The 13,430-nt window shown below is 35.8% G+C and overlaps 1 protein-coding gene across 27 annotated transcripts in view; it reads right to left on the bottom strand.

The window, feature by feature from the left end:
- Positions 1-13,430, bottom strand: part of NAV3 (neuron navigator 3) — a 641,149-nt gene that overhangs the window by 202,109 nt on the left and 425,610 nt on the right. For all 27 annotated transcript variants that reach the window (XM_017020166.3, XM_047429817.1, XM_047429823.1 and 24 more), the window contains 2 exons: positions 12,426-12,565; positions 3,457-4,483 (listed from right to left, as the gene is read on the bottom strand). In XM_017020166.3, the coding sequence (XP_016875655.1) occupies positions 3,457-4,483; positions 12,426-12,565 (1,167 nt within the window). The remainder of the gene's footprint in view (positions 1-3,456; positions 4,484-12,425; positions 12,566-13,430) is intronic.

The following is a 13,430-nucleotide window of genomic DNA, read 5'->3' as shown; positions in this document are numbered from 1 at the left end:
AGTGTGTGACAAAGAGTACTATGAAGCATTTATTGAAGTCTCAGAAGGAATAAGTACTGACCTAGAATTGAGAAAAAAAGTCACCATCAGCCATCAATCTTCCCATTATATAAAAGTTATTTAATTATATTTACATATCATATATATATGTATCTGTATACATTTATATAATTTATACTAATTAACAGCAATTACCATTTTCAATTATAAATGAGTTCTGATTGAGAATTTTGCAAGTGTACTATTGGCATTTTCCTAACCAGAATTTTCTCAGTAACAATACCTCTTATTTCTGTCACATAGATAGAACTGATAAGCAAAGCAAATTTCTACTAGCTTTATGATCTGAAGAGATTATTACTATTCTGACTTAATATCTCTGCTTCTTCATTTCTGGAAAATGGGGGATGACATTTTTTCTCATGAGTTCATGATGAAGTTTAAATGAGAAAATTCACATATATTTTGTGACACAAAGATTTTCACTAAGTAAGCACTCAACAAATGATAATACCAACATCAAAAAGTAAATTATTAGTCTTATCTCATCAAATGATTAGCAACTCCAAAAATAATTGTCAGGGATTTTATAGGAGGGATTCTTACATGGGGATAGAACAGTGAAAGTCAGAAAGAACATAAAAGGTTACATAATCCAAATGTCATGACTCTATAAACAAGCTTTTACTGAAAGCTGAAAAGAATGAATATTAACCACTCTGCCTTTTGAGGATTTACATATTATTTGTAAAATTGTTCTGCATTGATTTAAAAACTTTGAATGAATATTACTTTATATATAGACTTCAATGTGAAATTTTATGAGACAGTTTTAATTTATTTATTTATTGTAGAAACAGGGTCTTGCTCTGGTGTACAGGCTGGTCTCAAAGTCCTGGCCTCAAGTCATCCTCCCACCTTGGCCTCCCAAAATGCTGGGATTACAGGCATGAGCCACCATGCCAACCATAGTTTCATTTATTTTTAGCTATCTTATATTGTTGATAATAATAAAAATAATTACTGATATTCATGTAATTTGCTCAAAATCTGGCTGTGTGCTAAAAATTTTACATGGGATTATTTTCTTTAATCTTTCATACAATCAATCGAGGTAGGCATCCTTTATCAATCATACTTTATAGGATTAGAAAGTGAAGTTTAGGGAAGGCTGTTTACTATGTGGCAGATACTGTTCTACAGATAAATATCAACTCAATCTTCAAAATAGGCTAATGAGGTAGCTTCTACAATTATCATACCTATTTCACAGATTAGGAAATTGTGGGTCAGAATCTTTACATATATGACCCAAAGTAACACAACTGATCAGTGGTGGCATTGAGATTCCCACCTAGGCAACCACCACCACAAGATGCTGTTTCTGAACAATGGTAGAGTAAGACATATTCTATCGCCCTTTTTTTCTCTTTTTTTTTTTTTTTTTTTTTTTTTTGAGTTTCCCTCTTGTTACCCAGGCTGCAGTGCAAATGCACGATCTCAGCTCACTGCAACCTCTGCCACCTCCTGGGTTCAAGCGATTCTCCTCCTGCTTCAGCCTCTCTAATGCCTCTTTTCTTAGCTACTTGGCTACACTGCCTCACTTTTATAGTCTTGTTGTTAAAGAGGTCAAACAGAAACTCAAAGAGTTTCTCAAAGAACTCATCAGGTTCACACAGCGGATCCACACTGTAACTTCTAAGCTGTGCTGCTGTGCTGCTTCCTGTTTTTGATATTTAAAAGTTACATTTTCAAATGGAAACCACTAAATTTGTTTCCACTGGATATTTTATTGCAAACAATTTTTTTAAAAGCTTGTTGCTACTTATAGAAAGAAGCCTACTAAATTAGCAGTTCTAGATTTACACTTTCCTATGAAATTCACTTGTGATTTTTTGAAAGGATTGATGTTTTTACAGAATATATTTGTAATCCAAAAGTGTGCTGAGTATGACATATTTAAAACTTCATGATTTTTTTTCTCACGTTTTTGAAATGTGGATCATGATTTTGACATCTTAAATTCTGCTTTGTCAAACAGGGACCCTGGAGTCAGAAGGAGCTGCAGACTCCCATCTGATCCAAATACAAGTATTTTAAATGAGTTAGTACTATTGAAGTCAGAATAGCAACATTCAATTGTAATGTCCCAAGAGCTTAAATGTAATAATTATAATAATTTTGTTTTGCTGAGTGTATAAAAAACCTCAGAAAAAAAGCACTTACATTCCTCATTGAGCAAAAAAATAAATCAGTATAAACTGCTTTATTTTAAAAACTTTTACATTCAAAAAATTTAATAAAATTTTAAACTATATAGTTTTGACCCTTTCTTAATTATAGTGGGTCCTGCTTCCTATTCATAAAATTTTCTTTCTGTAGTTAAATTGCCAACCTGCCCGAAAGAGGGACAAAGCAGACATTATTGCTCCCCAGGCCATCTCCTTACCAACCAAGCAGTGAATAAACTGGGGACACAGCAGTTACTGACATATCTCTAATCGATTAAAACAAATCACAGAACAACAAGCAAAGTGTTGTCTTTACCATTTGGATGGTAGGATGCATATTTTAAAATGCATAATAATGCATTTAAAAATTTTATATTGTGTATTTCAATGCCTACAAAATAAGAATGCAAAGTAAAATAAACAATAAATAAATAAAAGGTAAAAAAAAAACAAATCAGTAATACAACCCAAATAAGTAATACAAATTATATATGTAACCCCTTTTACCTAGAAACCTATGCCTTGCTGTGGGAAATTAATATAAAATTTACACTGAGAAAGTAATATCTTATAAATAACATTTGAAGAACATTTGCAACACATCAGGATATACAGTAAACATGTTATATGCATGACCTCTGTTAATAGTCTCAACTCTACAAAGTAGTGCATGGTTCCTATTTGACAGCTGAAGAAAATGAGACTAAAGAATGTTAAGTAACTTTCCCAATGTCTTATAGCTGAAAAGTGGCAGAACTAGGAATGAAATCCGCAACTTTATCATTTCAGAGGCTGCCTCTTTAACCATTATGGTATACTTTCTCCCAAAGATGACAACAAAAATAACCGTAAACGATGTAAAAGTGAGAATTATTTTAAAAGTCTGCCGCTAGTAATAGAAGCAGTATAGTAGTAGCAATAATATGAATAAACACAAGAGAAAGTTGTGGCATCTGGTTTCTAGCTGGCTTTTGATAACAAGTAATTCAATTTTTGAAGGTCTCAATTGCTGACAGGGAATGAGAGAGGGAATAAAACTAGATCCTACTGGAAGTCTTTTTCCAGACTAAGATTCCGCACTGAATTCTAGGCCTCTATCTTTAGCATGAAACTTTACTCCAAAATGACGACATAAAGCACCACTTTATCAGCCTTCCCTATTACACTCTGAGTATGTAGGCCTGTAAATATATTTACAACTGTGGATAAACAGAGGCCACCTTACCTGTAAATGAATGGTGCCACTGTCGCGGTATTCGGGTGGCTATGTTGCTGCTGTTGAGGGAGTTGGACAGCACCATTTCCTGTGCTCTGCCCACTGCTTTGTGCCACTGTCATGGTACAGGAACCAGAAGGAGAAGCTTGGCCAGCTTCCCTTCCTTCCAAAGGGGCAGGACAACTAGAAGCACTTGCTTTCTCCATGGTTATAGGCTTAGATAAGGACTGGGAAGGGCTCCCCTTGGTAGTCCTGAATTTCTCAGACTCTTTGCTTGCTGTGCTGCCAGGTGAAATGGTTTGCTTTACTGTTGGAACTTTAGAGCCTGGTTTTGGAATACCACTGGAAGACGGAATTAAGCTTTCCTTCTTAGCTGCTGTTGTCTTGCTGCCCTTAGGGATCAAGCTTGCAATTTTGGAGGTCTTTTTTGGAGCCATCTCTGTCACCTGATCCTTCTCTTCTTTGACTGGTTTTTCAGTGCAAACTTTATTTTTGTCCCTGTTCTTTTCTTCTTTTTCCTTTGGCTGTAGCAAAGACTTTTTATTGCTGAGATTTTTGCTTCCAGCTTTTGGAGGGGCCAACTTAGGTGACACTTTGGGACTGCTATTTGTTGAGCCACCACTATTCAGACCACTGTTAAAACCTTCCATTTCACCAGATTCAGAAAAGGCATCATCATCCTTCCCACCATCACTAGGTCCTGAACTGGGAGGCTGCGGGGGGCGTAAAGCAGTCCGGGCATTGACTAGCTTGAATTTCTCAAGCATGGATTTCTGTCCTGAGGGAGCAGTTTTGACCCCTTCTGAGACAGGTGGCTTCAGTCTGTCTGAAGATGGTGTGGGGGAGGTGGCTGTACTTGACTGCTTTACAGTCAACATGGTGGAGGTGGCACTGTGTTTGACATTCATGGACTTGCTGCGCCAGGGCTTGCTGGCACTTGGAGAAGGGATGGCAGAGGCAGGAGGCTGCCCAGCAGTACTGGGAGGCTGCACGTTACCATTTACACCTGAAGACGATTGAGGTCCTTTGGAGGAATCTGGACATTGTTTAGAAGAAAAATAAAGAAAAGGCGATTAATCTTGATCATTTATATTACATAATTGAGAACTTCCAAACTATTGATGGATAGAAGTCTCTCTCCTCTGAACTGAAAAGAGACTGCAGCATCAATCACTTCTCTGATGTGATTTTTTTTTACCATATTTCAAAAATGCAGAGTGTTTGAGAGGCATTGATTCTGGGGTGGGGGCTGTGGGGGGACGTGTTTATTTTCCCCTCTGAAATTACTCTTACCCAAATAAATTTGCTAGTCACAGATATCCAAAGATGAACAAAACACTATCCCTCCTCTAAGCAATTCTCTTTGTTATTTTCCAACCACCACTGTAGCCCATGCTAGTAAATGGATATTCCACCTTGCCCTATAAAAATATGTTGTATAATGCTTGAACTCGGGAAGCAGAGGTTGCAGTGAGCTGAGATCTCACTGCTGCCCTCCAGCCTGGATGACAGAGCAAGACTCTCTCTCAAAAAAAAAAGTTATTTATGATATTTCGCTTTATTCTATAATGAATATAATATGAATAATTATTACAAATATAATTATGCTAACTGACATTTTATTGAAGGTTCTCTAACTGCATTATTTCACAACAGCCCATTGAAGTGGGAAGGGCTCATATTCCTAATTCCCATTTGTAGAAACCAGAGCTTAGTAAGCTTCATTCAATGATTTAGGTATCTAATGAGGAGTGTATGGTGGAGCTAGGCTTTGACCCCACATCTTGTCACTCTACAGCCCAAGCTCTATAATTTTCTTGGAATGTCAAACATTCTAAGTGTTTACCACAGTCATTCTCAAAACTTTAATGTGCACACATGATACTTGGGGATCCTGTTAAATGCACATGTGATACAGCAGGTCTGCAGTGGGCCCTGAGGTTCTGCATTGCCAACAATCTTCTGAATGATGCCGTTGCTGCTCACACACAAGTCATACTTTGAGTAGCAAGGGTTGAGTAGACTCACAAATTCTGAAAACTGTTGGCCTTTTCAGTTTTAAAGGGCTGTTTCTTAACACAGTCCCCCAAATTGCTAAATTCATTAAATGTTTCATAGCTATGCAATATTAACATTTTTTACTGAACTTTCAGAACCTTGGCTAGCTCTGAGTTCACCTGGATGTTTAGCAGTTTGCTTCAAATAATCTCTAAAACCAAAATAAACTCTTCAGGTTCCCCTAATGTCATTTTTTCTCATCTCTTTGTCCACATACTTGTTATGTATCTTCTGTGCATCTACAACTAGGTTAAGAAGTAAGAGTGTGCCTGGGAGCTTCGGTGGGGTTGATCGGAGAGGGTAGAAAAGAACCAGTCAGGATGCTTTTTTAACTGGCTGATGAACAAGGGACATAAGAGAAGGTGCTCTTTCCTTAGAAAAGAGAAACAAGTTGAAGACATTAGCTAGAAGACTGCTATAGAAGTTCAAGTACAGAAGAGGAATTTCAACATCACTGCACCCAAAACTGAAACAAGAGGGACTCTGAATTATGACATCCACATCCAACCCACAGTAATAGTCATAACAGCAGCTGTAACATCATTCTCAGGCGAGTACACACATATAAGATACTTCCTGAAGCTCCGCTCTAAATCTGTCCACAGCCTGTCCCTATACAGAGGCAATGAGATGCTTCAGATTTCATTAAGAGGGCAAATCATAGGTTGTTGTGCATCAGGAAGGCACTGGAATAATAAGAGTCTCTCTGGACTCCTCACAGTAAAGATTGCACAACAGCAGCTGAAATGGCAGCACCTGTAGTTTCTACAGAATGAATGTAGTCACAAATTATAATCGTTGCCATTTATATATTCAGGAATAAGTAGCCTGGTCTCAATGACATATTTCTGAATGTTGATTACTCAACTTCTGACTATGAATGAATCTCAGCATGGGGAAAATAACAGATTTCTAATGCACATATTTAAAGGCATTCCAAAAATGGATTTGTATCTTGCATTTTTATGGGCTATCTCTGCTTACAGCCTTACCTCTTGTCTATGGTCCCCAAATAGCAATTTGCTTCCACTCCCTGTCTTCTGCTTCCTCTTCTTATACCTCACCTACACTCACCATTGCCAACTCCACCATAACCAAATAATATTATTCATCTACTGCTTACTTTATTCCAAGTACATAATAAGTACTTCATACATGGTATCTCATTTAAACCCATAATAATCTACAATATGCTTATGATCTCTCTTGTTAAAAATGAGAAAATGAAAACTTAGAAAGATAATTTGTTTTCAATCATACATATGGCAAAACTTAGAAAAAACAAAATCTAAATTGGAACTCATTTTTATCTGACTCAAACATTTGGAAGATTTTCACTGTCTCTTCTTTCCACATGTTTACTGCATGCCAGAAATTCTGCTGAAATGGCTCTCCAGCAAGCCACATTTATCGCACAGTCAAGTTAATTGGGTAACTCCTTGTTTTCCTTCTTCCTTGGTGAGCAGGATATAAATGGGGAGAACATCACACAAGACACTTTATTCAGGTATTATATACCTTCTTCTTTAGCATCTTACTTGCACCTGTTCCTCTGAGTTGATGTGAGAATAGATATTCGTTCACACTTGCAAAACATCTAAATTCACAGAACTAATGTCTAGTTATCTCATCTTGTAAATAAACAATATTGATGACTTGGGAACAATGCCAACCAAGTTCTAAAATTAATACATGGATGTAAATGTGGCAGTCACAACAGGCATATGGAAAGTTTATAGTGGGACATTTCTCTCTGGAACCTCAGTTAGCTGTAGAGTTAGCACCATGTTACCAAGAGTGGTATCAGTCTGAGAAAGGACATAGAGATGATTCTTAATCGCTTATCTCTTTTTCCTCACTGAATAGTGCGTTGCTTTGACAAAAGTAAACTAGGTTCCAACTCTGAAATATAATAAGTGACAACAAAAATGATGACAAAAGCACCATTCATTTCTGAAGTATTTCCTGCATGGCAGGCATTGTGCTCATTGATATAGATGGTCCCTGCTGAATATAGGATACTTTAAGCATCACAGATCGTGGTGGAAAGAGGAAAATGATTAAACAATGTGGCTATGCCACTTATTTTGATAAATAATTAGGACTTTAATTCCACAACAACATACCAAATGCTTTAAAAAAATTAAGTTGAAGAAAAGTGGCAGTCAAATCTAAATATGTCTTGGTATTAAGTGGATCCTCATGCACCTCCTCACACTGCTTTGCATAAATAATTGCTCGTGTATTGCCTCAGTCATCAATTTTATAGTGACTCAAAAGAAACATGGGGTGGAGTTTTATAGGGATCCTAGAAGAGCTGTTCATTCTGCACATGCTTATATTGTACCTTTGCAATATTAGAGTGCCACTCTGTGGAGAGTTGTACAATTTAGAGAAGCTTACATTCACTCACCAGCCAGTATGTAATTTATGTACAGGCATATATACTTTGTGGACACCTCAATATTTGTGCATGTATGCATAAACCAACAACACATATGGCCAAGTCTATTTAGTCTTATAAATTGATATATACATAGATATAAATATATAGATATAGATATATACATATATTTACACATATGCACCTAGTTATGGTAACTCATGGAAAGAATACTAAAATCCCTGAAATTATGACATTAACAACGTATTTTAGGCTTATATAAGTATTAAGTAATAAAGCATTAAAATGCATAATTAGATCACCAGTAAAATAATAACTAAAGCACATTTGCACTGGCTTGAAAAGAAAACAGTTCAGTTCTTTGACTTTATTGTAATTTCAGAGTAATTAAAAAAACAAAGTGTTTAAGAGCTAGACATCTATGTTTTAGCTGAATAAGCTGCCCAAATTTAAAGACTAATGCATAATTCTCATTAACTCTGATACCTGTATAATGTTGAATTAAAATGTTGCTAAATCCTTGGCATCTATCTTATTAATTCTGTGTTGTGTGTAAATAAAAGCCAAAGCTTCCACACCAGAAGACACCTGATTAGAATCTAGACAAAGAGAAGGAAGCCCTGTTCAGTGAGTAAACAGGTACAATGTAAGAATCACGGTGAGAAATGGCAAAAAGATGGTAGGTAGTATCCCTTCTGGTGCTGGGGCATGTTTCTTAGCAACATGGAAAAACACCTCTCCACTAAGGAACTCCATCAAATGATGCATGTTTATAGATCATAATAAAGAAACTGGATTCCAAATAAAGCTATGGATAAATTCCTAATAATATTAAGCTTTTTTGCATTTTTAATTTTTTAATACAAGTTTTGTAAAACAAAAGAATGATTTCTTAAGGTAACTTGCTTCAGGCATGCAAAGTATATGTCCAAAGGAACCATGGCATGGTTTCTACAAGATTTGATTTACAGTTAACAGGTATTTGGTTTACTTCGGAACATATATCTGTCTAGAGTACTCTCATATGGTTCTGGGCAAATTGACAAATGCTGGTGTCAGAGTGTATTATTCATTGTCAGTTTCTGAATGGCAGGTCATCAGGAGAAGAAACTGAAGCACTCTCAAAAGAAATGCTTTACAAATGATGCTGTTTTCATTTTACCACTTGTTCTGAGAAATATGTTTCCGCGTTCCACTTCGACATAATGTTCAGATGGCAGTGCATCCCATTGTAACGTTTCTATTTCAGCCTTCTCTGCCAATGATAACCTACTACAATGTGTGCTGATATTTTAATTCATTTAATGAGACTGTAAAACGAGCACACTATTTTTTCAAATTTCATTATTAAAATGATATTAGATGTATCTTTTGAAGTGCAGTTTGTAATTCTCTACTGATTTCTTCTCATTAAGCGTCACATCACTTTAAAAAAGCTAATTTGTTTTACAAATCATACATATGAAAAGCCACTGTACTTTCAACAATTTGTTTTTTTAATATAGAAGTGAAATTGTTTTAATTGTGAATAAACCTTTACTATGTATTACAGATTCTATAGATTCCTGAACTGATTTATGTAACTCATCCTCTCAGAGTTGTTAAAGAATGTATAAAGTATATTTCCACTTAAAAGCATTCGAGGAACACATTACAGATAATTTGGTTAATCCTGCCAGTAAAAGATCTTGTTATTAATTTAAGTATTCTTATTTTTAATAACTAAAAGGGAAAAGCAATTAGAATAATAATATTCAAGTTAGTACTTTCTGAGTTCTATCAATATAATACAGTAAGTTTTAAAAGTTCTTAACTCTCACCTTGCTTGGTCACACCCAAGTTATATATGCAAACTAGTTGTGATAGAGGTCAACTCATCACCAGATGGATTTGTATATTTTTATAAACATTATTCTAGAACTAGAAATCTTCATATTCAAAAAGTTAAAACAAACATCTTTATTAAAAAATGTACCATTTGGATATAGAATAACTTATAATTTTTTTTTTTTTTTTAGACCCAGTCTCGCTCTGTCGCCCAGGCTGGAGTGCAGTGGCGCGATCTTGGCTCACTGCAAGCTCCGCCTCCCAGGTTCACGCCATTCTCCTGCCTCAGCCTCCTGAGTAGCTGGGACTACAGGCGCCCGCCACCATGCCAGGCTAATTTTTTGTATTTTTATAAAATGTTTTGGCCGGGCGCGGTGGCTCACGCCTGTAATCCCAGCACTTTGGGAGGCCGAGGCGGGCGGATCACGAGGTCAGGAGATCGAGACCATCCTGGCTAACACGGTGAAACCCCGTCTCTACTAAAAATACAAAAAATTAGCCGGGCGTGGTGGCGGGCGCCTGTAGTCCCAGCTACTCGGGAGGCTGAGGCAGGTGAATGGCGTGAACCCGGGAGGCGGAGCTTGCAGTGAGCCGAGATCGCGCCACTGCACTCCAGCCTGGGCGACAGAGTGAGACTCCGTCTCAAAAAAAAAAAAAAAAAAAAAATGTTTTAAGTGTAATATATTATTACCTCGTTTGCTCTTATAATTTAAGATAGTATTTTGGAAATACAGCATGACATAATGATTAATTTATGAACATTGTTATTGGATCTATTGACATAAAGTTTTAACTCCACGTTTAATAGCAAATTTCATATTGCATACAAGACAAATTCCAGATGTCTTTATTATATCGTATGAAAACTCTTGTCTAAGAAAATGTGCTTTATATGAGCAGACTGCATATTACACGACATCTGTCTCCACCTTGTGGTTATAATCAATATTGCTACTATCTAATTTTGCACTGCCTTCTAAGCATAGATAGGGAAGGTATGTATGAATTGAGTGGCCATGGAAAAATATTAATGCTTGTATATCATCAGAATTTTACTAATAGATGCCAGAAATAAGTTAAATAAAACATTTTCACATTACAGAAAAATTCAGATAAATTAAGATATAAAAGTGTTAATTCATCAAATGCATTTCTAAGTCTATTTACAAACATTGCTAGTAATTTCTTGCTAGAATATCAATAACGGTGGTATCGTGTTGCTTAATTGGACACTTTGGTAGTCTATTTAACACATCTTTATTTCTAAGCCTGTTAGCTTCCCCTAGAAATTTCCCACATATACAGGAAGTATTAGCCTGAACTTGTATAATATTTTTTAGAAAAGTTAGGAAATGAGGGCATTTTTTTTTTTCTGATGAGCGACTGTCACCTCCCTTAGCCCCAGGAAGAGTATAAGTCTTCAGTAATATTTCTTGTGATCTTAAATCTAAAATTTTATTTTATATTTTAAAGAAAACATTCCTAACTTCCAAATATACACTTTTGTTTTTCATTTTCCATTTAACTCAAGAGCTTAAGATATTGCAATCTTAACACACACTGCTCTGCTCTCAGGTGTTTAAAGTCTGTCCACTTTTGCTTTAGGCCAAAGGGAATATTTACACAAAAGAGTGTCTTGCTTCTAGATCACATCTGTCCGTTCACATTTGAGGAAGAGGAAGTTGTCTAATCATTTGCCTATATGAAACAATTCACAATTATCTATTTTGAGCAAAAACGTTCCCACATGGTTGAATTATTTGATCCCAATTAGCCAGATGTTCTACTAACTAAACATTTGTGCCACTTTTTAATTTCATGTGTTTTTCCATGTAGAGCCCAACACTCTGAAGAAAAGTTTGAAGTTCTATTGATTTGAAAATACTTCCTCAAAATCCAGCAGAACACCCTAGTTCCTCACACAGCCATACTACTTATAACAGCACAAGTTCTTCACTTCCTCATGATTGAGGTGTAAACTACACATACTCATCCCCGTCCTCTCTGCTACTCAGTGACAAGCATCAAATCAGCACCTCTTTAAATGCCCACTTCGTACATCACAGAGAACTGTGTGGCTTATGATTCATTTATAATATGCCTTTAACAGACACTTTCATTTAATGTCCTTGATTTTGTGATTTGATATTTATATTATGCACTAATTCAAGAAAACAAAACAAATATGAATAATTTGTCTTTTGGGGAAAACTGAGGTCATAATATCTCTGGGATCTGCTGCTTGCAAAGATAAAAACCTACTGTAATTATGTTTCAAATTTTGATGCTCCAACCTTAATTGTCAAAAACACTTATGGCTCTTACCTTAACTGAAGTTAAGGATTCAGATAAATTCAATATGGCTTTATGATTTCAGGATACATTTTCAAAAACATAAAAAGACATAAGAAAATGTGATTTACATGCATTTGGAAGGACCTGTTTTTGAGAAACAGTATTTGTACTTGCATATATAACTAACTACTTTAAAATGAATGAGTTTATTTGTTTAAAATGTTCTTCAGATAAGAAAGCTGGCAGTCAGGAGGGGACAGTTAGGAAACATAAAGAAACTCCACTGATAACATCTCTAGGCCCAAAGTTGTTACGCTGCTCAAATATTAGATTTAGCATGCAATTCACAAGACTCATGTTGGACTTGTGTCATAATGATGTAACAAACACTTACCTTTTTCGTTTCCATTTGCATAATTTGGAGGCTTGTTTTTGTCAATGCTGTTAAAGCTCTGACTTCTCCTATTTAAATTAGAGGCTCCCTGGACCTTGCTGCTGCTTCCTGCAGCAGGCACCCTAGAGGGCCCTGGAAGCCTGAAATAGTATAAGAAAAATTACATCATTATTGTACATTACAAAAAGGTAAGAAGCAGGAGGTGCTGAAAGTCAGAAATTTACAACATATGATGTTCTAAAATCTATTTAGCAGAAAATGGTGATAGATGTGACAAATAAATAGCTAAGCACAATGTTGCAGATCTTCAGAAAAATCTTGTTTCCCTTTTCAATGAACATGTCCCTCCAAAATTGTAATAATATACAATAATTAAAATAAATCTTAACTAAAAAAGTCATACTCACCCCATCCCTGATGAATAAAACTTTGCCTTAAAAGTACTGTAACAATTATGTGAAAAGTAAAGGAAACAATAACACTTAACTTTATGTTCTCAGCATATTCCTCAGCTATTTCAGTTATTAAGCTGTTCTTTTCAATGTGTAAGGCATTTGTTTTTATTGTAGGTAGTTATATAGTAAGTTTGCTTGGATATTAATCACAAGAAAGTTACTGAACAAGAAGGAATAGCTAATGCTCACTGAGTATCTAAGTTACTTAGCTACACTAATGAAAACATGGTACCAAGACCCAGGTCATGAGTTAAATTATATTTCACTGGTCTGCCCCACAAAAAACCTTTTTCATTTTCTTGCCAAAAATAAGCATCCAGACTTAGCTGGTTGTCTCACAAGTTTGGCCAACTGATCACAGAGGAGACGTGACAAGAAAGGATGCAGATCTCAGAAGAAAATCACTGTTAGCTGGATGACAATTTAAAATATGCTTACATGTAGTGACAATAGCTTTAGCTACTCTTTGTGTATGAAGGACAGGATATGAGGAAATATGAACAGACTATCTTATAATTAGAGGTGGTTTGACTGGAGGTAGTAACTTACT

Source organism: Homo sapiens, chromosome 12, assembly GCF_000001405.40.
Source record: "Homo sapiens chromosome 12, GRCh38.p14 Primary Assembly".
NCBI classification, from domain to species: Eukaryota; Metazoa; Chordata; class Mammalia; order Primates; family Hominidae; genus Homo; species Homo sapiens.
This window is presented reverse-complemented; position numbering and strand designations above follow the sequence as displayed.